Genomic DNA, 26,305 nt, shown 5'->3' on the forward strand with positions numbered 1-26,305 from the left:
CATGTTTTTCCTGTTCTGGGAAACAAAAGAAAACAAAACAACAACCCAAATCTCTCAGGGATGAGGTCCTGACACCTTTGGCTGAATTAAGCTGTTGGGAGACAAGGAAGAGGTAATAGTGGTCAGGTAATCTCAACACTCAACCGCCATCCTGTTTTGGTGGAGGGCCCCAAGTAACACACTTGGTGGGAGGCCTGGGCTGAGCAGGATGGGTCTTCCTCCCAGGAGCCTGGGAGAACACAAGGCCAATTGTGAGGCAAGGTGCATGGGCTGCTGCAGGAGGGCTTGGGCAGCAGCTGTCCCCAGATGCCCACTGCCAATAAGTCTACAGAGCAGCACTGGCTGTGGCCTCAAAGGGACCGAGGAAGCTGCCACCCTGGCCTGGGGTCAAACTGTGTGTGGTGACAGGGAAAGGAATGTGGACTTTGGCAGAGTAAAGAGCGGAAATATGGGAGCCCAAGAGAAAAGCCACCTGGGCTTGTTGAAGCTTTACCACCAGCCAGGGAGGGCAGTGTTTCTTGTCCCTCAAGATGTGGTTTAGGAAGCCCCAATCTGTTAGGTGCTTTGAGAAGTCTCCCTCTCTATGAGGTACCATCTCACTAAATAAAAGGAGCTATTCAGTGCAGGGGAAAACTCACTGTTGGGTGCATTCCACGGAGAGTAAAGGCACATCAAAGAAAAAAGTCCTTTAACACACAGATTTCTCCTTGACTTGGATTGTTGTAAAACTAGTGTGCAACTAAGAATTACAGAAAATCTTCAAAGGGAGAAATTACTTAGTGAAAAATTTTCATTATAGCCATGAATGGTGATAAGCAGGTTGGATTAGGGATGTGACCATCCGGGTCTTTCACTTTTCTAGGTCTGATGGATTTGGATACATCACAATATCTCTGAGTCTCAGTTTCATTCCTGTAAAACGGCATACTCATTCCTGTCCTATCTCCCTCATTAGGTTGAGCATTCTGAGACTCAGAGAAGTTCACTCATGTGGAAAAACAGTTTGTCAGTTCTAAAGTTCCATGCAAGTGTGAAGATTTATATTAGCTAGGAATTACATCCTTTTCCTCCCGTCTGCAGAACACCTCCCTGCCACAGTGCAGAATACAGAAGTTTTACACATAGTAAATATTAAAATGAAGAGACAAAAAGGCAAAAACAAAAATGCATGTGGTTACTGAGCAAACACTGAGATGGAATTATTTCACATTGCAGTGAACAAAGGGACATTTCCAGTATTATTCCCAATCCTATACAGTTGGTGTTCCAAAGGCCAGGTAGTTGCATGTTACTGTAAAGCCCTGCATTCAACAATCTTCAACGTTTAGCTTTTTCATAGCTTGACCCATTGTTTCTTAGCTGATTAGTACAGTTGTAAACCAGAAAAGACTGGTCTGTGACCTTAGAAGGTTGAACAAATAATGCTCCATCCAAGTTGTAATTACACAAGAGATAAAACAAAGACACATGTGAGCCCATTTGTAATAATCCCTCAATGCTGATATGAAACTGTTCATGTCAAACTGATTTCTATAGAGAGCAGAGCAAATAGGAATTAAAATAGTATATACCTATAATATGAGATAAGATTCTAGGAAATATAATTAACTTCTATAACTGACAGAAATGCTCTAGGAACTGAAAGAAAGCAGAAAAAATTGCATTGTTAAAGACCTTAAGTTTTTCAGAAAACTCCCCAAAGTGAACTGCTTTAAATTCTTTTTACAACAAGACAGGAAATAACCAAATGCTGATAGGCACACATTAAAATAAGTCCAGAATTCTTTTCTGTACATATTTTTAGTCTATATCTATCTGGCCAAAAGGAATACAGAATTAGAATAACTGGCTGGTGAAATTAATTCACAGAAGGGAACCAAATAATCATTTAGTCTAACAACTGAAAGCAGATATTAAAACCAGATTTTTTGGTTTGTTTTGTGCTTCCCCTGCTTCTCATTGTCTCCCTGCCCAAAAAGAGCAGTTTCAATCGCTTATCTCCTGTCTGTCTCTGTTTTATGCATCATTGCTATGCCCTGCATGACTGAAATGGTCACTGGGACTGGGAGTGCAAAGGAATTTTGAAGTTAAAACTACAGGAGTTATGAAAAACAACCACTTAATCACAAAATTCAATTCAACTTCCAAACAATGTCTAGAGTTAGGAGGAGAGTTAGTTAAACAGCCAGCAGCATGATGAACTATTCTGCAACCACTTAAATCAATGCAAATGTTTACAACACAAGGCAAGGAAGAATTAATAGAATTCATAATAGGACTGCACGTGATCTGAAATCTATGTACAAGTAGAAGGAACATAGAAAATACATGGATTATGGTCATGTACTTCCTGATAACTTACTCATTTTAATAGTTTTTGAATTGTATTTAAAAACATTAATGCTGCTTTTATTTAGTTTAAAAAAATTGTTGTTCAGACTGACATTTTGATCTTTCTAAAAAAGAAAAAAAATCTAGGACCTTGTCCGTGTTCAACTTCAGGATGGGTTTATTTTCTAGTACATGCTGAAAGGCTTTGTATTCATGCTCTTTAATGTTTTCCTCTGGATGATGTCCAAAGTTCTGCTGCTGCCCTCCTAAGTGCAAGGTTGCCTGAATTGGACAAATATTTAATATATTTCTCCTGGATAAATTTACCTTACTCAGCTTTTAAAATGTTCATATGTAATAAGCAGTATCATAATATGCTCCATGATATCTTTTCATTTCATTTAAATTTGATTTTTTAAATTTTTTTGACATTTGAATAGAATCAATTTTAATACAAAAAGGGAGGCAATTTGGCATTATGTGCTTCCTGATGTGTTGCTATAAAAAGTACTTAATTTTTACCATGAGTGTAAATATAACAAAATGGGAAAAAATAGTATTTTTCAGTAAATGATGCTGGAACAACTTCATATCTACAGGTAGAAGAATGAATCTGGATCCCTACCTCACAACCTATACAGAAATTAACTCCAGCTGGATCATTAAATCTAAACATAAGAGTGAAAATTGTAAGCTCTTAGAAAAAAATGCAGTGGTAAATACTTATGAATTCGAATTAGACAATGGTTTTTAGATATGAAAACAAAAACACAAGCAACAAAGGAAAAAGTAGATTTGATGACTGGACATCATTATAATGAGAAACTTTTGTGCTTCAAAGGACATCACCTAGAAAGTGAAAAGGCAACATGCAGAATGAAAGAAAAATTTGCAAGTCATATAACTGGTAAGGGACTTGAATCTAGAATATGTAAAGAACTCTTACAACTCAATGAAAATAGGAAAACCCAATGATAAAATGGGCAAAGGATATAAAAAGACAGTTCTCCAAAGAACACATGCACAATAAATGCATGAACAGATGCTCTTATTAGCCATGAGGGAAATGCAAATCAAAACCACAATAGGATACCATAATTGGGCATTTCTGTAGCACACTATGAAAAGTGCTGATGGTACAAGAAAAGAGATACCAGAGCAGTAGTGAGGGCAGCTGTGGTAAACAAAGCTCTTATGATCCTGAAAATCCTGAGTTCAGATTCAGCAAACGTGGAGTGGGATCCTATGTGCCATGACAGGCATCACACCAGACTCATTTAATGACTTCTCACTCAACTAGCCTACTCTCTGTTGTTGAATTGTTAACTCTATTTTACAAATGAGCATTCTGAGACTCAGAGAAGTTCAGTCATCGGCAAAAGTTAGCAGGTGAGAGGGTGTTTTTGAACTCTAATCTGATTTCATATCTAGGGTTTTTTCCATTGCAACTTGCTCCAAAAAATTGGATTTGATAAATTTATTTCTTTATTTTTACATAAAGTGTTTTAGGTGCTTAAAAAATTAAAGTAATATCCCTCAATCACATCTTTTTTTTTTTTTTTTTTTTTTTTTTGAGACTGAGTATCACTCTGTCGCCCAGGCTGGAGTGCAGTGGCGCGATCTCAGCTCACTGCAACCTCTGCCTCCTGGGTTCACACCATTCTCCTCCCTCAGCCTCCCTAATAGCTGGGACTACAGGCGCCTGCCACCATGCCTGGCTAATTTTTTGTATATTTAGTAGAGACGGGGTTTCACCATGTTACCCAGGATGGTCTCGATCTCCTGACCTTGTGATCCGCCCACCTTGGCCTCCCAAAGTGCTGGGATTACAGGCGTGAGCCACCACGCCCGGCCTCAATCACATCTTAAAACAAATAAATACGAGGCACCAGGAAGGCAAAAAAAAAAAAAAGAAGGTGGGACTAGAAAAAGATGAGGTCGATAAGACACTAACATAACCACAAAGGATTCCAACAAAACTATTTTATTCTTAACAAATCAAAGGGTGCTAGAATGATCATAATGTCACCCAACTTATAGGTGGCACATTTGTTTCTACCTGACCAACATAAGCCTGGGTATGATCTCTTAGCTCTGCCAGTTAGCAGAGCTCAAGACTGACAGATTTAACGCAAGGGTCATCTTTTTGTCTAAGTAGGGAAGGTGGTGTTGCCCAAAGACGTGAGACAAGTGACTTCTCTATTGATGGTGACCTCTTGGAGCCATGAGGACTGACACTCCTAGTTCCAAGTGGCCCAGCACTCTGGGCCAGGCATGAGGGCAGGACAAGGAGCCAAGGACACAAACCAATTTAATAAAAACAAGAACTAAAATATCAGAAGGACTTATTTTCTTTAGGAGAGGCAGTTTGGGATGGTGAGGAGAAAGAAAAGTTACCTCAGAGGACTGGCAGACAGGACACCTGGGTTTTAGTCCTGGGTCTTTTACCAAGAGCTGGATGAGTTTGGGTAAATTACATTGCTATTTTGGGCTTCCATTTTTCATATATAAAATGAGGATGTTGAATTTCCTGATTTGCTCTCTTTCCCAACTGCCATCTCTCTCTTTAAGGCATGTTTTGACAGGGGTCCCTAATTTGCTGGTAGATCCAAAGATTCAGGACTGAGGTAAACCTAAAACCTTTGCTCATCGGGGCATTCCAAGGCTTTGGGGACAAAAAGGTACCTCTGCCTCAAATGTCGATTGGCAATTTTTCTTTATCCAGATGATCCTGTTTTGACTGGACCACCAATAGCATTTTTGAGAGAATTGAAAATTTTATGAGCTTTCCCTCAAGATGGGCTCAAGGAATGCTTAACATAAAGGCACAAATATTATGGAGCTGAAGAAAGAAAAAAAAGAGAACTGATAAAAAGGGACTTTCTGTAGACCAGACTGGACTGAAGTCCAACAGAAGTCCTCTGATGAAGATAGAGGGGTCAGTGGAAACCAGAGAAAGATTAATTCTGTATTCAATAAACTGGATGCTTGTCAAATTTGAGACTTCATGCTGGTTAGTCAGAGATAATATTCTATTACAGATAACTCTTCAAGAAGTTTTAAGTTCAGAGGTGATATAAAAATATACACAAGTACAATAATATAGGGTAAAAAGGTTGTTTCATTAGAAATAGAGGTAGAGATAAAAGTGCTACTATGACTGTAATGATAAAGGCACAACACCTGATGATAATAAACAATGTCAGGAAATGAGATTTGAACTGTGAGTATAATAAAAGCATACAGAAAGGAAGCCAGGTGAAGGAAGTTAAAGACAGCCCCAACTGTAAACTGTAGAGAGTCAATGTATGAATTCTGTTTAGTGTTCAACCCCGAACAAAATCAGAATTTAAAGACCCTCTAATCTTCCTGGGACTCGGATCACTCTTTTTATCAGTTTTCTTTTTTAAATTTCTCCAGCTCCATAATATTTGTGCCTTTATGTTAAGCATTCCTTGAGCCCATCTTGAGGGAAAGCTCATAAAATTTTCAATTCTCTGAAAAACATTATTGGTGATCCAGTCAAACCAGGATCATCTGGATGAAGAAAAGTTGCCAAACAATACTTGAGAACGAGGTATGTTTTTCCCCAAAAGCCTTGGAATGCCCCAATGAGCAAAGGTTTTAGATTTACCTCAGCTGTGAATACTTTGGATGCAGCCTGCCGTCCCTGAGTCCTGGATTGTTCTGTGGGTGAGAGCAGAGCTTCTGTTCTGTCATCATCTGGCTGTTTTGGTCATGTGGTCATATCAAGGTTTAATGAAAGAAAGCTAAATGGTGTTGCAATGACATACTGAAGTGATTAAAAGTTTAAAAATGTCATGCAAATTCTAATTTACCTCAGGAATATGTTTGAATTAAGGCTTTGCTTTTTTCTGTTGTCTAAAGATGGAGCCAGATGCAGGTTTTATAGCGGTAAGAATCCAGGATTTGGGGTCGAGTTCCAGCTCCAGAGCTCACTCAAATTAAACTTGAGCACATCACTTACCACTTTGAGCCTTAGCTTCCTTATCTGTAAAATGGGGTTTATAAAACTTTGTGTCTACCCTACTGGATTCTATAAGGATCAAATTAAATGAGGTCACATTTAAGTCAGCACTTTCCTCCTCCTTCATGGCAGAAATGTGTCTTGTGCATCTTTATTTTTTTAACCCCTAACCCATAATGTTGCATATTCTAGACACTTGATAATTTATGTTCAATTGTGTTGCCCTTTAAATAAGTCACACTGGGCATTGCTATGGCCTTTTATGTGAATGTAGATTTGACTGCCCCAGTGGCTAGTTATTCCTTAGGTCCATCATACCAGATCAAGGTGAGCTTCTCTGATGAAGAACAGTGCAGTCTTCCTCTGCTGGAACCATTGATGTTTCCATTATAGCGCACCATTTTTCTGTGGTTGCCACTCATCAGTACACACACAGTGTTATTTGTCATATAAAAGGACTTTCCGTTCAAGAGCCTAGGGTCTGTTCTGTGTTAGCTAGGCACTATCCACCATGGGATGGCTTAGAACACTGCTCAGCAGGAAATCATGTTGTAAATGATTTGTTTTATTTCAGTCTTGTCATCCTGTGTAGCTCTGCACTGCTTTATCCAGGCGGTGGAAAAAGCTTTGAGTGTGAGTGGCCAGAATCAAGTGGTGTTCTCTCACTTCATCACGTTTGGCACATTTTCTCTCTGGACAAATCCAGTGGACATTTTGCAGACCTGCTAATCTCAGGAAGACTGAAGTTTTTAGAAGATCGCTCTTCATATTTAGGGGTAAGTGGTAAGAGGGAGGAAATGCTCACTACTGTTTGGGTCGTGTTTTCTTAGCTTGGCAAAGAATTATAACTTAATGGTATTGATTAATGACTCACCCAGAAGACACAGTCTAGTAGTTTGGGCTTAATGAGACTGAGTGCCTATTTTGCTTTTCAATCTCTCAAGATCTTTAGCAACTGTAAAATATCTACTTCCCTAGTTTACTTTTGGGAGCAGATTACATCAAAGAAATACTATTTCCATAGTCTTCTGGAGAATGTCACCTCCCAAGGAATAGTATGTCTGATTTCATAGAGATAGCAAGGCTTGAGCATTTAAACTCTCTTAAAATGCTTTCTGAAATTCTATTGTTTGATTTGATATTTGATTCTAGAACATTTCATTAGGGAAGAATAGACTGTTAGACTCACTTGATGGATAAGTCTGCAGATTAGACTCAGGGTGGAGCACACAGAGGTTTGGTGCCCCTCATTCAACCTTGGCATTCTCTGTCACGACAGTTAGGTGGGTTTCTAATGACCTTTCTGAGCCCCTTCCTAGCTAAAGTGTAAGTCTCTTTAGAGTAGGAGCTAGATCTTATTCCTATTTGGTTTCTCTGTTGATAGTGGTTCCATATGTTAGTTGCCGCTGTCAATGAATGTTTTACTCATCAGTATATACATTTATGCAACAAAAAATTGAATACGTTCTAAGCAAAAAAGCCACACATGTGAGCCAAACCAAGCCCCTGCCTTCATGGAGCTTGCTTTCTAGTGGTAGAGAAAGCAATCCATGACAAATCAAATAAACATTCAATATTGTATTAGGTAACTATAAGTACTATAAAAAAAATGAAGCAGATTAAAGGGATAGAGAGTCACAAAGAGTACCGTTTTAGATCAGGCAGCCAAGAAGTGTCATTCAGAGGAAGTGATATTTGAGCAGAGGCCTAAATGTAGAGGGGAAGAGAGCTGTGCAGATGGATATCTAAGGGAAGTTCGTTCCAGACAGATGGACACAGAAAGTCCGAAGACAATAGGAATTTTGGTTAAGAAACTGGTCTCTGGAATTGGGTTGGCTGGGTACCAATACTGGCTCTGCCACTCTAGCTCTGCATGAAAAATAGTGATGATGATAGCTGATGTTCATTAAGTACTTACCATGTGTCAGTTAGAATGCTAAGCCCTTTACATGGTTCTCTTATTTAATTCTTATTTATTTTTTGTTTAAAAAAAAAAAGAGACAGGATCTCACTATGTTGACCAGGCTGGTCTCAAACTCCCGGCCTGAAGCAATCCTCCTGCCTCAGCTTCCTAAAGTGCTGGCATTACAGCATGAGCCACCATTTCGGCTCTCTCTTGTTTAATTCTCACATCAATCCTACAAAATTCGGATGGTTTTGAATCCCATTCTACCAACAAGGAAACGAGGCAAAAAGAGCTCAGTGAAGAGTGGCGCCAGGATTCAACCCTTGCAATTTGAATCAAGAGCCAATAGTTTTAACACAAAATAAAATGTGGAATGAGCATGGCCAGATGTGGGAAAGTTGGGACATTTGCCCTTTGTAGTTTTCCCTTCTCCTGCCAATGACCTCCTTTCCTCCAGCCCTGCTTAGCCTTCTAAGGTGATTTGGGAGGGTGTACCCATGCATTACTACCTCTTGTTCTGGACCTTTCCCTACAAAAATCATTCCTGGTTCCCACCCCTTGGAGAACAGCCATCTTGGTCTAAGGAAACTGTCAAGGGAGGCTCAACAAAAGTGCCAGTAAAAATTGTGACTTAGTAGAAATAGCAAAAAATGGTAAGTCTTGGCTCTGCAAGCTGTGTGACCTAGGCCAAGTCATTGGCTTTCTGAGCCTCAGTTTCCTCCTACATAAAATGGATTGATATTATTTCTACTGCCTATCTCATCTAATACTATTTCTCCTGTGCAAATCAAATGAGGTCATGTGTGATAACATAAAATATACAATAAAATATAAGTGATATATATAGCACAGCATATTATATATATAGTATACATAAAATATACAATAAAATATAAGTGATATTTATAGCACAGCATATTTTATATAATTTTATAAGCACAGCATATTGTAATAGATTTGCAAACATATCCTGTGATATTTAACTTCTTGATTATCAGAATGTATTACTGTGACAAACTGCTGGCCCCATTCTATATTTCCATCTCTGACGTCATGGCCTCCTATGCCTTCCAATTCTTCAAATTTCATTTCTCAGGACAGTAAAAATGTTACTTGGAATTTCACCAACAGTTTACTCTAAAACTGTTGCTTCTTTAAACTAGATAAATTAGAGCAGTTTGTATCTTTTGGAATGGAAGCTATTTGACTGTAATTTCTACCACATGTATTTATTTTATTGTAGGAATAAAATAACAAAAAATATCAGTTAACCAGAATGCTAGGAGGAATGAGAAGTTTTAAATAACTAATTATTGGTTAATTAAAAGGCAAAAATGAATTAGAAACTCCTTCCTCTTTTTATACTGTAGAATGTATATTTTATATCCATCATTTACTCCTCTGACTTCGCAGGAAGGGTACAGTGAGGGTAAATAAACAACCATGTAAGTGTGTGTGCGTGTGTGTGTGTATGTGAGAGAGAGAGACAGAGAGAGAAAGAGACAGTTTTAACAGATCTGCCATTTTCAGCATCTCTGCTCTGTGTACAACACTATAGGCAGTCATAGGCAACATAGGAAGTTGAGTTAATGACAGAATGACCTTAGATCCACAAACACTTGGAATAGGGAAGACTCATTACACATTAAAAGGACGTTAAAAGCTACATAGTGGTTAAGGGCTCAGGCTCTATGCCAGTTCACTTAGGTTGGAATCCTGGATTGGTTACTTAGTAGCTCTGTGACCCTGGATAAGTTACTTAACTTCTCTGAGTCTCTAATTTCCTTATGGGCAAAATGAGGATGATAATAATGATACCTACTTCATAGAATCATTCAAGTAAAGGTAGTACCTCATGCATAATAAAAGTGCCCTATGAAGGTTGGAATTATTGCTGTTGTTGGTTGTAATGAACACTTACTAGGTCTTTAACATAGTCATTTACAACTCCATGAAGGAAGTACTGTTATTATCTCTATTTTATAGCTGAGCAAATTGAAGAATAGACATAGTAAGTAACTTGCCTGAGACTCATTGTTACTAGCTGATGTGTACCCATCCCACATATGCCTGGCTCCAAATACATGGTCCTAATCACCATCCTAAATAGCCTTTCCTGATCTCAATCTTTACCATAGACCTTATTTGTCATTATTTATCTTTCTTCCTTGGTTTAGAATGAACAATAAGCATTTATGAAATGGAATGGTCCTAAACAATCAAACTCTGAAATGGGATTCTTAATTCCACTTAATTGAGGTCTTTTAGTATGATATGTTAGTAAACATGACCCTTTAAGTAAATCACATATTGGGAGTGGTCTTGAATAAATTATTTAACATTTCTTTGGCATCAAGCCTACTAAAGTCATCACAAGATATGCCTTAAAGGATTTTCTTCTGTTGGCTTTGGAATTTTTTTTTTTTTTCAGTTAACGTGTTGTTTTCTTAGAATGCATTCTTCCAGAGGACAACTGTAAACTCTGAGTGAGGCTTAGAACAGTTCACTCCCACCTGGGTGCCTATTGACATTATTCGATGTGGGTGATGAATTGCTTGACGTGTGGCCCATGAAGATGGGAGAATACAGTAGAGAAAGACATGCACAATCAAGTCTGCCTTTTGTAGCAATGGCAATGGGTCATGGCTGCATTTTAAAGAGAAGGGGAACATTACTTTTCCATTTAAAAGTACAAAACTGTGACTCATGCTGGAATTGGTCCAGAATGTTGGTCAAATAACCAGATTGACAACTAAAGCTAAAAAAATAGGGTAGAAAGCTGGAATGCAAGGACGGACATATAGGAAGCTTAAATTCATTAGAAAAATGTGAACAAGTTAGAGAAAAAGAATCAGAAAAACAGAGAGTGTAACATAAAAAAAAAATGAAGAAGGGCCTTTAAAATGCCTCTCCTGATTTCCTTAGATAATCCTAGGAACATCAAACTCCCTACCCAGCAAATTAATGGGATAGCCAAAGAAAACCAACCCCTCCTTGTAAACAAAGTGGAAATTTCCTTCTTTCCAAAAGGGCCCCAGGCCCAGCCATAGAGGAAGCAAAGAGGCGAAAACATATTTCTGCCTGAAATGACCTCCTATTTTAAGAAAAAACAACAGCCCCAAAAGAAGGAAAGAAAAAACAAAGCTCCACCCAGAAGGAAATTGTATGTAAACAGCCCAAAAAGAGACCAAGACCTAGAGGGTTGGAATACTGAAATAAGCTATGAGTGAAAGGCATGATTAGCCTCTGACAATGTCAGAATCTGAACTTTGTGACAACTGCTTGGTGATTGACAAAAAGGGGTTGGGGGTGGGAGGAACTAGACAAAAGCAAGCTGGTTGAAAAGTCCCCTCTGCAGCATGGAAACTTTGATCTTTGAAGTTTGCCTGTTTTTTCAGGCCTCTGCTAGTGTGTAACCCAGGGAAGATCAGCAACCACGAAATGTTGGCTATAATTTTCTGCAATTTGTCACATGCCCTCTGCAAGCCCTGGTGAGATGGTTTTCTTTTGTTTTTAAGCTGCGGATAGTGGCAAGGTGGTTCAGGCAAGACAAGAGCAAAGTGAAATCTTCCTTCAATTCTCCTAAGCCTGGAGGCTACATTAACAAGCAGATGTCTTTTTATTTTTTTCCGCATATGTATTTTGTTTGGCTTACGTGGCATTAATTTCTCCCCCTCTTTTTGGATTCAGCATTTAAAAATCAAGAGATTTCAAGTAAAAATTTGGTTTTATTTACTCTTAAAAAATCTGGTGATACAAGCCCACGATTCCTGCAGGATAACATCTTCTGAAGCTGAGCACCTACTGCCCTGTTCTGGTAGGGCATGTACTTGACATTCTTCCTGCTCCCATTCCGCTGGCTCCACTTGCTTTTGCCACCTGTTTGTCCTGCCTGTGGGAATTTATGTTGACTTCTTTTCTTAAAAATAATTAATTAATTAATTAAATTTTTTTTTTGAGAAAGAGTCTCACTCTGTCACCCAGGCTGGAGTGCAATGGCGTGATCTCGGCTCACTGCACCCTCTGCCTCCTTGGTTCCAGTGATTCTCCTGCCTCAGCTTCCTGAGTAGCTGGGACTACAGGCATGCGCCACCACGCCCAGCTAATTTTTGTATTTTTAGTAGAGACAGGGTTTTACCATGCTGGCCAGGCTGGTGTCGAACTCCTGACCACAGGTGATCTGCCGGTCTCAGCCTCCCAAAGTGCTGGGATTACAGGCATGAGCCACCATGTCCAGCTGTGTTGGGTTCTAACCTGACCCATATACATCTTTAGGGCTATCCTCTGTTTAATCCAGGATGGCATCAGCCTGCCAAGAAAGATTCTAAGGCTGTTCTGGGCTTGGCAGGTGAGTTATAATTGGTTTCTGATGTTCTCTGGGCACAGAGGGAGTGCGTGGCAGCACATATGCCCTGCATCTACACGGTATGATTAGTTAGATCTCTGGCTTAATCCTGTTTTAACCTTGTCTTTAAATAGTCTTAGCGTGCCTTTTCTACAAACATTCTTGAAATCTGGTTGTGTTTATTTTCTCTCAAAACCTCTAAACACAATGAGATTCCATATGGAATCTCGTAGACTTTCTAGAAATCTCAGTATGTCCAGCCTCTTTTCAGGAACACTCAACTGCTCTATAAGCAGCTCTTGGTATAATACCAACAAAACCCCAAGTACGTGAGAAGGAATGCATTGATTAGTAGTAGCACATGTTTTAAGATGGTGTGTGAAGCAGTAGCCACTACTGTGGCCTCCGCCTGTCTGTCTATCTATCTATCTATCTATCTATCTATCTATCTATCTATCTATCTATCTATGTCTTATCTATCCATCCATCCACCCGTTTTTGTTTGTTTGTTTGTTTGTTTGTTTTTTAGCCATCTTTTGGGACTCCCAGATGCCTGTCATAGGAATGAGGCCTGCAGGTATTCTCACCTCTTCTGTAAGCGGCTTTCACATCCTCATTATAGTTCCCTACCTATTGCCCCTTGGCCAGCCCCTCCATTTCAGTAGAAGCCAGTATGTAACAACACTTTCACACAAAATGGCCTGCCAGAAGTCCAGAGGCGGGAACCTCGGTGAGCTGCTTTTCAAAGGTCTCCGACCCTTAAATGAAACCTCTTTGGTGCTTTTAGGGATTCTGTTGTTGGAGCCACAAGGACCCTTAAGAAAAATACTTGGAGCCAGCTGGTCCCTGCCATCATTGAAACCCAAAGGGAGGAGCTCCACGGGTGAGGAGCTACTCCCTAGATGTCTTGAAGTTGCTTGTATTTCAAAAGAATTCAGCTTACCACCACTGTGGCTTTTAGCCTCTCTAATAAAGCAGTTTTTAAAAAGCTAAAAACGTAATCTGCCTTTTAAATCTGCTCTTCCTGCTGAGTCTAAATGGGGTTGCAGCAAAATGCCTGGCCAGCATTAGAGTTCTCTAAAGTCAATCAGCTGAAATGGGGTTGCTTGGGGGTTTAAAATATATTTGAAAACACTCCAGGGGTGGTGCAAAATAACTGAACAAAGGCGAATTACATGAAAGAAAGAAGCAGGTGGAGGTTTATAAAGCAAAAGAATCACTTGTATATTTTGGAAATATTAGAAACTGAGACAGGCTTGCTGACCTTAGAAGTTCATCTATCTGATCATAAAAATGTTTTTCATTTGACATTAGAAAAATATTATGCTAATGAAGATGGTTTCAAATACACACCCAGAAATAGCCAAGGGTATACCTGAAAAATACCCAGGTACCCAAATAGGAACTGAGGCTAAAACATGTAACAGGTGAGGAGGTGCATTACTGGGATGTTTTCTCAGTAGCTTTGAGTAAGGCAGCATCATGCATTTTCTTCATTTTAATGAAAAGGTGGAAGAGTTCTCTTAAAAGTTGACTTTTTTTGTGAGGCAAATTCTTGTTTTGTATCTCATGGAAAAAAATCAAGATTAAAATTACCACGGGAAAAGAAATCTATAGATGATAAATTGAAGTATTTTTATGAAGACAAGATTAACATTGCAGCATGCACTGCATTATACCCTTAATATGTTCCTGAAAGGTAACATCTATGGATTAAGGCCACTTAGAATAAGAATGACCAATGGGAAATAAGTGTAAAATGTGAATTCTGCAACAAAAATACAACATATCTGAGAGGGCAAGTTTTGCTAACCCCCCACCCGCAGGGACATTTCTCTAAGGCACTATGAAAAGAACAAGACCAGTTTCCCAGTAAATTTGCTGGTCGGATTATATGTGCTGCTTTAAAGTTTTACTTGGCCAAACTGGATTCCACACTTAGGAGAGAGGATGATAATTTAGCAGTGTAAAATATACTGCCAACAAATAAATCTCTATGCAAGAGGGTCTTTGACATTGCTCTTCCTATACTTTACTCCATGTGGAATATATAGAGTGGATAAAATTGCCAGAATTTCTTGTTCTCTTTGTCGGATAATGAATTGAAGGCATAAACTTGAAAATATAGCTTCTGCCAGCACACAATTTCTTGTTACCCTTTGAAGGCCAGTGTGTGTGCTGAAAGAAATGCCTCAGAACACTTGAGAAGGTGGATGCATATGAGTAAATTGCAAGGGATTGGAGGCATTGGTTTGGATAAGAATGGAAAAATTCAGATATTTTGCCAAGCAGTTCCAAACAACTTTGATCTGGATATCTCAGGAGAATGAACTTGTGCCATTCCAGCATTTTCTGGTTTTGGCCAGGCAAAGCATATAGTAAAGAAATAAATACAAAATAAAACCCAAAGTTTTTAATGGGTTTTTAGAACTTCCACTTCTGGCTGCAAATGGTAGACAAAAGGCAAATAGATATTGTTTTAAAAATGCTAAGCCAGGCTTTTTCTAACCTCAAAAAAACACTGGGGTTTGATGAGGTTCAGATTTGGGGCAAGTTTCAGGATAGTGTTTGTTCTAGCAACTTCCTTCCCATCTCTGTGGAAAGTCTGTTAGAGTTTGTTGTGGTTCTGGAAGCCACACTCTGAAGGCTCTAGGCTGGGGCATCCAATCTGCTATTTGTGCCTCTGCCCACGCTTCCTTCGCTGTGTTTCTTGGAACTGGGCTTTCCTCCACTGCAGGAACTTGTACATGACTGAGAGGAGCCCAGACCCCTTCTCCTCCAAACTTTGATGGTGGAGCCTCTGCTTACTTCCCACCTCCAAGAATCTCCAGCGTGTCCTGGGCCCCAGTGCCTTCAGATGGGTGGCTGTCCAATTCCTGCCTTTAGCTGAGCTTCATTCCACTGCTCTAAGCCTTACCTTGGGTCTGGGGGGATTTCTTATGTTCAACCAGCAGGTTCTTTTGGTTGTATCATTCATTCAGCTCTGGAAATCCACTGCTTTCTGGGATATATCTTCTAGAAGGAAAAATTATGATGTCTGCTGTGAAATAAAAGGGGGACCAAAAGAAAATTAATATTTTGTGAGAATCTAGTATGTTCTAGGCACTGTACTAGATGCTTTATATTATATTTCACTTAAAGTTCACATTAATATACTGGTATATAACTCATGTTGTCTTGAAGATCAAAAGAGATCATTCACATAAAACACCTTGTACAGGGCACACAGTAAGGACTCAGTGAATTATTATTATTTCTTAAATTCCTTCCTAGGAAGGAACTTATTAATCTCTGCCTTTTAGTTAGGGTCTCCAACAAGGTCTTGCTATTTATAGGGCTTGATAAATGTTTGTTGAATGACTGAATGAATGGACTTTGCCAGAAGTATCTTACTACTATTGTTGATCTTCTGGTTAACAAGATATGATTTAATAAGTTAATTTATGTCTCTTTATAAAACCATAGTTTTGAGGAATCTGATATCAAAATTGTCCAGATAAGGCAACAATTTACCCTTATTTTATCTTTGTTTATTTTTCTTCATTTTACATTATTAGCCCTAAATTCTAATGAGCTGTATACTTCTTACGCTTGGATGAAATACAAACATATTACTTAGATATCATTGTTTGATAAACCCAATCAGAAAATGCAATGTTTTGCAGACATAGAAACTAGCTTAAAATCAAGCCATGGGAATACAAAAGTAAGAGCGTGAGAAAACAGACTGCTTCTTGAATAAAAAAGGTAAATTATAATTGGGAAAGCCAATATAGGCAACTGTTGCAAGGACAGTAATACTTTAGAATGCGATTCCTTTTTTTTTTTTTTTTTTTGAGATGGAATCTCACTCTGTTGGCCAGGCTGGAGTGCAGTGGCATGATCTTGGGTCACTGCAACCTTTGCCTCCTGGGTTCAAGCAATTCTCCTGCCTCAGCCTCCTGAGTAGCTGGAATTACAGGCCCGGGGCACCATGCCTGGCAAATTTTTGTATGTTTAGTGGAGACGGGGTTTCGCCATGTTGGCCAGGCTGGTCTCAAACTCCTGACCTCAAGTGATCCTCCTGCCTTGGCCTCCCAAAGTGCTGGGATTAGGTGTGAACCACTGCATCTGGCCTGGAATGCAATTCTTAACTGTAAATGGGGTAACATAGAATAATAGAAAAGGTTGAATCTTTGAATCTCTAGCACTTCACCTCTCTGAACCACAGTTTCCTCATCTGTGAAATGAAGTCATGTAAGGTGATCTCTAAGACCTTCTGGCCTTAACACTAACATTGTATGATTTTTATTTAATAATAACAACATACATTTATATAGCTCTTTAAGCCTTCATAAACTCTTTCATATTGCCCTATTTAATACAGGGCTATTTCACTAGTAGGTACACATAGAATATTTGAGAAAGAAGAAATACAAAAGCCTAATATATATATTATTTATAAAAATGTGATTCACTCAAATCTGTTGAATAGTCAATCACAAATGTCAGAATTTAACTTATTACTTAGACTCCCAGAATATGAGAATGAAAGGATCTCAGAAACCATGTAGTCACCTTCTTCATCATGGATGATGAAAGGTTTAAGAATAGGGCCATGGTGGCTTGGCTCCATGCTGAGATCTTCAGACCTCCAAATGGGTGCTCATCACATGACATCAATTTCACTGTATTGCTTGCTTGCTTGATTATACCGACAGTCCCATGCAACCCAGGCAATCTCCTTTGCAAAACAGAGAAATAAAAGTAATGATGAAAATATTAAGAGTCAAAGAATAATTTTGCTAAAAAAATGTTTAAGAAACATAAGTGATTGCTGCTTAGTATCATTTTTGTCTTACCAAGATTCTGGATAATTTATCATTTACAATCAAGATAAAAACCTAATCTTTATGTTTCTTTTTTTTTTTGCCTCTTTTCTCCCCACAATCTACTCCAATAATGTTTAGTATTTACATCTTTACCTACATTTTCTTGAACATACGTGGTAACTCACTTTGTAAAATGGATTATAGAATTCTGTTTGTTCTAATAAATTAAATATTAATTTTAGAAATTTTTAAAGACTATTGTCACACTAGTTCTGAATCTATCCTCCAGAAAGGCAATGCTAGGGATCAGAACTTTTTAATCCTTCATTTATTTTTGTGCTAGAAAACTAACATAGTTTTATGTACTGACGTTTAAAGTTTGAATGGCACATTAGTGTGATTTTCAAGATTTCAACATAAGCATCTATTTCATATTTTTAAAAAGACTGTAAAATTACTTCTCCTTTTGGGTATGATGTATTCTCATTGCAGCTTGGAGTTTCTGTTTAAAAAAGTCTTTTGTAGAATTCATGTGCCAAATATCAAACGAGGTGTCAAACTTTGTAAAAATACAAAGAAATTAGTGCTTTCAATTTTATTAGCATATAGAAGCAGAAATCCTGTGGCATGCATTTGAATAGTAAAAACTTTACAGAGGTATTTATGCAAGAGACATTTATCAACTCTCTAGAATGTACAAATCATCAGGCTGGGTGCTGTGAGAGATTACTTCTACTTAAAGCTTATTATGATCGAGTACATCAGGGGTCAACAACATTTTTTGTAAAGGGGCAGATGGTGAATATTTTTTGCTTTGCAGGCCATGTAATCTCTGTACTCAGAGCTGGTACTGTAGAATGAAAGCAAGCGTAGACAGTATGTTGTAAGAGAATGACAGTAACCATAAACTAATACAGCTTTCTGAGTGGACACTGAAACTTAAGTGTCAAACTATTTTCATGTCTCACAAACTATTATTCTTGTTTTAACTTTTTTCAACCATTTAAAATGTAAAAAACAATTCTTAGTTTGTGGGCCACACAAAAACAAGCAGTGGGCCAAATTTGGCCTGCAGGACATAGTTTACTGACCTCTGTAGTAGATGTGTATTGAAACAAAGTAGAACACATGGGATAACATGGCATGATGGCGGGAACATACACTGTGAGAGTATAAAATAGGACAAATTAATTAGGAAAGGCTGTAATGCTAATATCTTATGGAGATGATAATTTTGTTTCCATTTTTTCTGAAATGAGATTCATATAACATAAAATTTACCATTTAAAAATGAACAGTGGCACTTAGTATTTTCACAGTGTTGTGCAACTGCCACATTTACCTAGTTCTAAAACATTTCCATCAGACGGAATTATCCCAAAGGAAAACCCTGTACCCATTTGGCAGTTGCTCCCCATTCCTGTCCCCCCACCAGTTGCTGGCAACTACCAATCTGCTTTCTGTTGCTACGAATTTACCTATTCTGAATATATAATATTTCATATAAATGGAATCATACAATATGTGATCTTTTGTGTCTGGCTTCTTTCATTTAACATAATGCTTTATAGATTCATTGATGTAGCATCTATCAGCACTTCATTTTTTCTGGCTGAGTCATATTCCCCTGTATGCGTATACCACATTTTGTCTGCCCATTCATGAGTTGATGGAAATTTGGCTTTTTTCAAAAGTTCCCCTATGAACATGCATGTACATTTATGCAGTTTTCAATTCTTTTTGATATATACCCAGAAGTGAAAATGCTGGGTCAAATGGTAATTCTATGTTTCATGTTTTGAGGAATCACAAAAGTGTTTTCTGCAATAGCTGAACCATGTTGCATTCCCTCGCAACATATAAAAGTTTCAATTTCTCCACCTCCACAAGAGGAATTGTTATTTTTATTTTTTGAAATTATAGCTATCCTAGTGGGTGCAAAGTGGTATTTCACCGTGGTTTTGATTTGCATTTTCCTGATGGTTAGTGATGTTGGGCATTTTGTATATGTTTGTTGGTCATTCTATATCTTCTTTTGAGAAATGTCTATTCAAATCTTTTGCCCATTTTAAAATTGGATTATTTGGTTTCTTTGCTATTAAGTTGTTTGAATTCCTTATGTATTATGGATATTAACCCCTTGCCAGGTGCATAGTTCGCAAATATTTTCTCCCATTCTGTACATTGTCTCTTCACTCTGTTAATTGTTTCATTTGCTGTACAGAAGCTTTTTAGTTTGATGCAATCCCATTTGTCTATTTTTGCTTTTGTTGTCTGTGCTTTTGAAGTTCTATCCAAAAAGTCCTTGCCCAGACTAATGTCATGAAATAGTTCCCTTACATTTTCATATAGTAGTTTCATAATTTCAGGTATTGTATTTAAGCCTTAATCCATTTTGAGTTGATTTTTTGTACATGGTGAGAGATGGGGGTCTATTTTCTTTTTCTTTTTTCTTTTTTTTTTTGCATTTGTATATTCTGTTTCCCTAGCACCATTTATTGAAGACGCTGTCTTTTCCTCAATGTGTGTTCTTGGAACCTTTGTTGAAAATCAGTTGGCTGTAAATGGATGGATTTATTTTTGGGTTTCTATTCTGTTCTGTTGGTCTATGTGTTATGTGTTTGTTTTTATGCCAGAACCATGCTGTTTTGGTTACTATAGTTTTGTAGTGTATCTTGAAGTCACATAGTGTGATGCCTCCAGCTTTGTTCCTTTTGCTCAAGATTGTTTTGGCTACTCAGGGTTTTTTGTGGTTTCACATGAAGCTTAGAATTTTTTTTTCTATTTCTATGAAGAATGTCATTGGTATTTTGATAGGGATTGCCCTGAATCTGTAGCTCACTATGGGTAGTATGGAGTCTTTTTACTCTTTTGATGGTGTTCTTTGATATATGAAGGTTTTTTAATCTTCATGAAATCCAGTTTTGTATTTCCTTCAGTGTCAGGTACATACTACTCTTAAAGGTCCATTTTAATATGGCGTATTAATAACAAAAGACGATGAAAACTAAATTACTAATTTTTATATGTTGTCTGGTTAGAATCTAAGAGAACTTCAATGGGAACATAATAGCTAATATATATGAAGCATTTACTATGTGTCAAGTCTGTGTTAAGTACTTGACATACATTATCTTATCTAATTCTTATAGCATCAACCACTAGGCACAGAGATGTTCAATGGCATTACAAGGTCACATAACTATTGCATGGAAAAGGCAGCATCCAACCAAGGCTGTCTGGCTCCATGACCTCATAACTTTTTCAGGTTTCTATTTTGAATGTTTAGGTTTGGATACTCCATCTTGTGGCATATGTATAAAGAAGAGGCTAATGTTGACATCATGTACGTGGTTGACATATAGAGGAATAGGAAATTGAGTTTGGCATTTCAGAAATACCAAGTAAGGGAAAACCAAATCACACCAAATCTTTTAGGTAATTTGTCAATAAGGAAAAGCTCTGGTTGTGTCATTCATTTGTCCAAATTTCTTCTATGACTTAGACAATGTCTTCTGAATAATGAAGAAACAGTATTAACGAAATATAATATGTGGCAGTGCTTTTCAAAATGTTATTCTGTTAGAACTCTTCAAAGGAGGTACTGATATTTTAATTTTGCTAAAGAACTAGTTTCAAGGTTAGTCCATGAGACCCAGTGTGGATTTGAGCACAGGCTTGCACACCTGCCTCCCACAATTTCAAATGTTGAGCATATTCGCTGGCTCCTGGGTTCTCAGTGGATCGTTCCATCTGTATCTCTTTTACTCCCATTAGTGTTCAAGTTTTACTCCCATTAGTGTTCAAGTTTTACTCCCATTAGTGTTCAAGGTAGACTATACCTTTTCCTATCGTCTCATGGCTTTGTTTTCTATATCTCTTTTGTGGGCAATTTTCTTTTCCAAATGTTTACTTATTCTTCAATGCATAATTGATACATCAATGTATCCTTTAAGTCTCTGATCTTCCCAAAAAGTATTCTTTCTCTCTTCTGAGCCTTCATTACATGCTTTGTCTTCAAACTGCCACATGACTACATTTGTATGATCAGGTGTAAATTTTATCTCTCCTAATAAATCAAAATTCCATTAAAGTCCACATCTTACTTTAACCACATTTGTTTCTTTCACAATATCTGGTCCAGTGTCTTATATCTAATGGCTCTCTAGAAATAAGAAACAGCCTCCTCAACAAGGGCCAGGTTCTAGCCTAAACACCCAGATTTAGTTCTCAGTAAGAGCTATCTTCAGTGCAGTTTAAGAGAGTAATTGTTGTAATTGCATAATTATGTATATTTTGATAAGTTTGCAATAAAGTATTTATGAAATGTACTAATTCATTCATTAAGCCATTCAACAACCACTTGTTGAATATGGATAAAACCACACATTCTTGTTTAAAGAAGCTTATAATTTTGTGTGTGTTTGTGTATGTGTGAGAGTGTGTGTGTGTGTGTGTGTGTGTGTAAGAGAGAAGAATAGAGGCAGAGAGAGAGAAAGAGAGGTTACACAAGGCAGCAAAAGATCTCTACAAGGAAAACTATAAAACACTGTTGAAATAAATCACAGACAACACAAACAAATAGAAAAACGTTCCATGCTTATAGATTGGGAGAATCAATATCATTAAAATGGCCAGTGTTAGGTCATTCTTGTGTTGCTGTCTAGAAATACTGGAGACTGGGTAGTTTATAAAGAAAAGAGGTTTAATTGGCTCATGGTTCTGCAGGCTATACAAGCATGGTGCCAGCGTCTCTTTGACTTCTGGGGAGGCCTCAGAGAGATTTGACTCATGGTGGAAGGCAAACCAGGAACAGGCATGTCATACAGCAAGAACAAGAGCAACGCAGGCTGGGGAGGTTACACACACGTTTAAACAACCAGATCTCATGAGAATTCACTCACTATAATGAGGACAGCACCAAGCTATGAGAAATCTGCCCCCAAGACCCAAACACCTCCCACCAGGCCCCGTTTCCAACATTGTGGATTATACTTTCATATGAGATTTGGGGGACAATATCCAAACTATATTATGGCCATACTGCTCAAATCAATCTACAGAGTCAGTGCTATTCTTATCAAACTATCATCATTTTTCACAGAATTAACAAACATTATTTTAAAATTCACATGGAACCAGAAAAGAACCCGAATAGCCAATGAAATCCTAAGTGAAAAGAACAAAGCTGTAGGCATCACATAATATGACTTCAAACTATACTGTAAGACTACAGTAACAAAAACAGAATGTTACTGGTACAAAAATAGACACATAGACCAATGGAACAGAATTTAAAAACCCAGAAATAAAGCCACACACCTAAAGCCATCTGATCTTTGGCAAAGTCAACAAGAATAAGCAATAGGGAAAGGACTCCCTATTCAATAAATGGTGCTGGGATAGCTGGCTAGCCATATGGAGAAGAATGAAACTGGGCCCCTGCCTTTCACCATATACAAGATGGATTACAGATTTAAATGCAAGACCTCAAACTATAAGAATTCCGGCCGGGCGCGGTGGCTCACGCCTGTAATCCCAGCACTTTGGGAGGCCGAGGCGGGTGGATCATGAGGTCAGGAGATCGAGACCATCCTGGCTAACAAGGTGAAACTCCGTCTCTACTAAAAATACAAAAAATTAGCCGGGCGCGGTGGCGGGCGCCTGTAGTCCCAGCTACTCGGGAGGCTGAGGCAGGAGAATGGCGTGAACCCGGGAAGCGGAGCTTGCAGTGAGCCGAGATTGCGCCACTGCAGTCCGCAGTCCGGCCTGGGCGACAGAGCGAGACTCCGTCTCAAAAAAAAAAAAAAAAAAAAGAATTCCAGAAGAAAACCTAGGAAACATAATTCTGGACAGAGGCCTTGGGAAAGAAATTATGAGTAAGTCTTCAAAAGCAATTGCAATAAAATAAAAATTGATAAGTAGGACCTAATTAAACTAAAGAGCTTCTGCACAGCAAAAGAAACTATCAACAGTCAACAGACAACCTACAGAATGGCAGAAAATATGAGCAAAGTATATATTCAACAAAGGCCTAATATTCAGACTCTATAAGGAGCTTAAACAATTCAACAAACAAAAACTACATAACCCCATTAAAAACTGGGCAAAAGACATGTACAGGTACTTTTTCAAAAGAAGACATACAAGCAGCCAACAAACATGAAAATGCTCATAATCACTAATCATCAGAGAAATGCAAATCAAAACCACAATGAGATACCATTTCACCATTCAGAATGACTATTATTAAAAAGTCAAAAAACAGCAAAGGGAATCTGTATACACTGTTGGTGGAAATGTAAATTAGTTCAGCCACCGTGGAAAGCAGTTTGGAGATTTCTCAAAGAACTTAGAATTACCAATTGACCCAGCAATCCTATTACTGGGTATATACCCAAAGGAAAACAAACTGTTCTACAAAAAAGACATATGCGTCTGTGTATTCATCATAGCAGTATTCACACGCAATAGTAAAGACGTGGAATCAACCTAGGTGGCCATTAACAGTGGGTTGGATAAAAAATGTGGTATATATACACAGTGGAATACTACACAGCCATTAAAAAGTACAAAATCATGCCCTTTGAAGCAACATGGATGCAGCTGGAGGCCATTATCCTAACTGAACTAACACAGAAACAGAAAACCAAATACCACATGTTCTCACTTATAAGTGGGAGCTAAACATTGGGTACACATGAACACAAAAATGGGAACAATAGACACTGAAGACTACTAGAGGGAGGAAAGAAGAAGAGGGGCAAGGGCTGAAGCTACCTATTGTGTACTATGCTCACTACCTGGATGATGGAATAATTCACACCCACAAACCTCAGCATCATGCAATATACCTGTGTAATAAACCTGCACATGTACCCCCTAAATCTAAAATATCAGTTAATAGTAATGCTTGAAGAAAAATGAAGCCAGGTACAAGGGTCAGAGAATGATGTTGGGAGGTGAGTGGTGGACAGTGTGGACAGGAAAGCCCTTTTAGCTAAGAAGGCATTTGAGGAGAGATCTAGAGAAATGAGGGATTGAACTATGGATATTTGGTGAAGAATACTTCAGGTAGAGAAAGGAAAGTTCAAAGGCCTGAGGCAGAAACCTAGGAGTACTGGAGCAGTGGAAGATGAGGTGAGAAAAGTAAAGGAGGCTATGCTAGGAGGGTCTTCTAAGTCATAGGAAAGGTTTTGGAGATTACCAGGAATGAGATAGAAAACCCAGTTGAGGTTTTTTGTTTGTTTTCAGAAGAGTGATATGATTTACTCAATTTTAAAGGATCATGTAGGCTGCTGTGTACTCCTTTATTGATTATGTCTTCTCAAGGGCAGGGGACATGTCTTATTTACCTTTTTGTCCCCAGTCGCTGGTGCAGGGAGTCTCCTATCCAGTAGCCATTAAATAAGTACATGTTGGGTAAATATTTGCCTGGGATACTGACTGTTACAAGAGTTGTAAAAAGAACTTAAAAATAGAAAATTTCCCTCAGTTATCACGACTCCAATGATACAATTTATTTTAGTAGAACACTGTGAGGCCTTCTGTATTTATTCAGTAGAGAATTGTTTTGCTTTTCTTCAACATTAATCCCCAAACTAAGGCTTTTGCTACGATCATCAGGAAAGCTTTTCTTCATAACCATCTGTACAATGATAATGCCATACAAGATTTGAAGAATGAACAAAGGGAAACACACTGGATTCTAATTTTGGCCCTGTGAGTCATTAGCTGTGTGAACTTTGAAAATAATCATGTGCCCATTTCTTTGTGGAGCACCTATTGCGTTGAGCACCTGCTCACTGTCCCCGAAACAGACTTTCACTGTCTAACCAAGAAAGACAGAAATGTAAGCAAAGATGAAGAACACAGGGCTGTGAGTTGGCTCCTGTTGAAGCATACATGGAGGGCCTTGAGAGCAACCATCCTATTTTGAGTACACTAGGAAGCTAACAGTGAAGAGTAATCGAGGCAGAGACCAAGTGCAAAGCCCTGATCATGTAGAAGAGTGCGTGTGTGTTCAGGGAATGCTAAGGCATTTGGGAGGGGTCTATGGTAGGGTAATCTTAGAGGACTTGTCATTTTTATCTGGTGCATCTCTTCATTGGGGATGCCATCCTTCACCCATTCCATGTGATCTTCATGGTTGTTTACTGTGTCTTTCTTGCCAGCCATAGGGTTGGATAGGTCATCTAGGATGCCCATTCACAGTGACTTGTCATAAGACAAAGCTTCAGAATAACCTTCAGTTTTCTAATTAAAAAAACTTGAAACTTTGGTTGGTGTCTGGCAAAAAGAGTTTATTGTCAGGACACACCTGTCCTGAATTCAGAACTGGGACATTGTTCCTACTGAAGGTAGTCTAGAGCCTGTATTTATTCTTTCTCGGATTTGGGGTTATTTCTGCAATTGTGTTCCTGTCTCCTTTCTCCTTTACATGTGCATAATTTTTATTTCCCCGTGGTCTCTCAGGGTGCCCCAATCTCCACTACATCTGAAAATTTTAATATATTTATTTGACTTCCTCTCTGTTCTTCATTTAAAGAAAAAATTATTTAATATCTATTATGTGCCAGGAACTACTCTATGTGCTAGGGCTATAGTAATAAACAATTTAGACAAGGTCCTTGTCCTCATGAAACTTACATTTGATGGAGAGAAATGGCCAATGAACAAGCAGAGGCATAAATAAGACAGACTCTGGTACATTCTATGATGAGAATGAATGGGAGCCGGGTAGAGAGTAACAGGGTAGAGAATTCCTTTGGCGGTGTTGGGGGAACATGATCACTGAAGGCTTCTATGTGGAGGTGATATTTAAGCTAGTCCCCACCAAAATGATTTCAAGATAGGCATTACAAGATCCCTGGGGTAGGGAGAGCTTAATGGGTCCAGGAGCTAACAAAGGCCAGTGTAGCCGA

The 26,305-nt window shown here is 38.4% G+C and overlaps 1 long non-coding RNA gene across 4 annotated transcripts in view; it reads left to right on the plus strand.

The window, feature by feature from the left end:
* The window catches only part of LOC105375410 (uncharacterized), an 86,586-nt gene that overhangs the window by 56,819 nt on the left and 3,462 nt on the right, over window positions 1–26,305 (plus strand). For 2 of the 4 annotated variants that reach the window (XR_001745288.2, XR_927777.3), the window contains exons 4-5: window positions 6,894–7,095; window positions 13,358–13,438. This is a non-coding gene — a long non-coding RNA (uncharacterized LOC105375410). Of the gene's footprint in view, window positions 1–2,930; window positions 3,229–6,893; window positions 7,096–13,357; window positions 13,439–26,305 lie in introns of those variants that run through there. The other 2 variants (XR_927779.3, XR_927776.3) reach the window with 2 other exon arrangements.

This window comes from Homo sapiens, chromosome 7 (genome assembly GCF_000001405.40).
Source record: "Homo sapiens chromosome 7, GRCh38.p14 Primary Assembly".
NCBI lineage: Eukaryota > Metazoa > Chordata > Mammalia > Primates > Hominidae > Homo > Homo sapiens.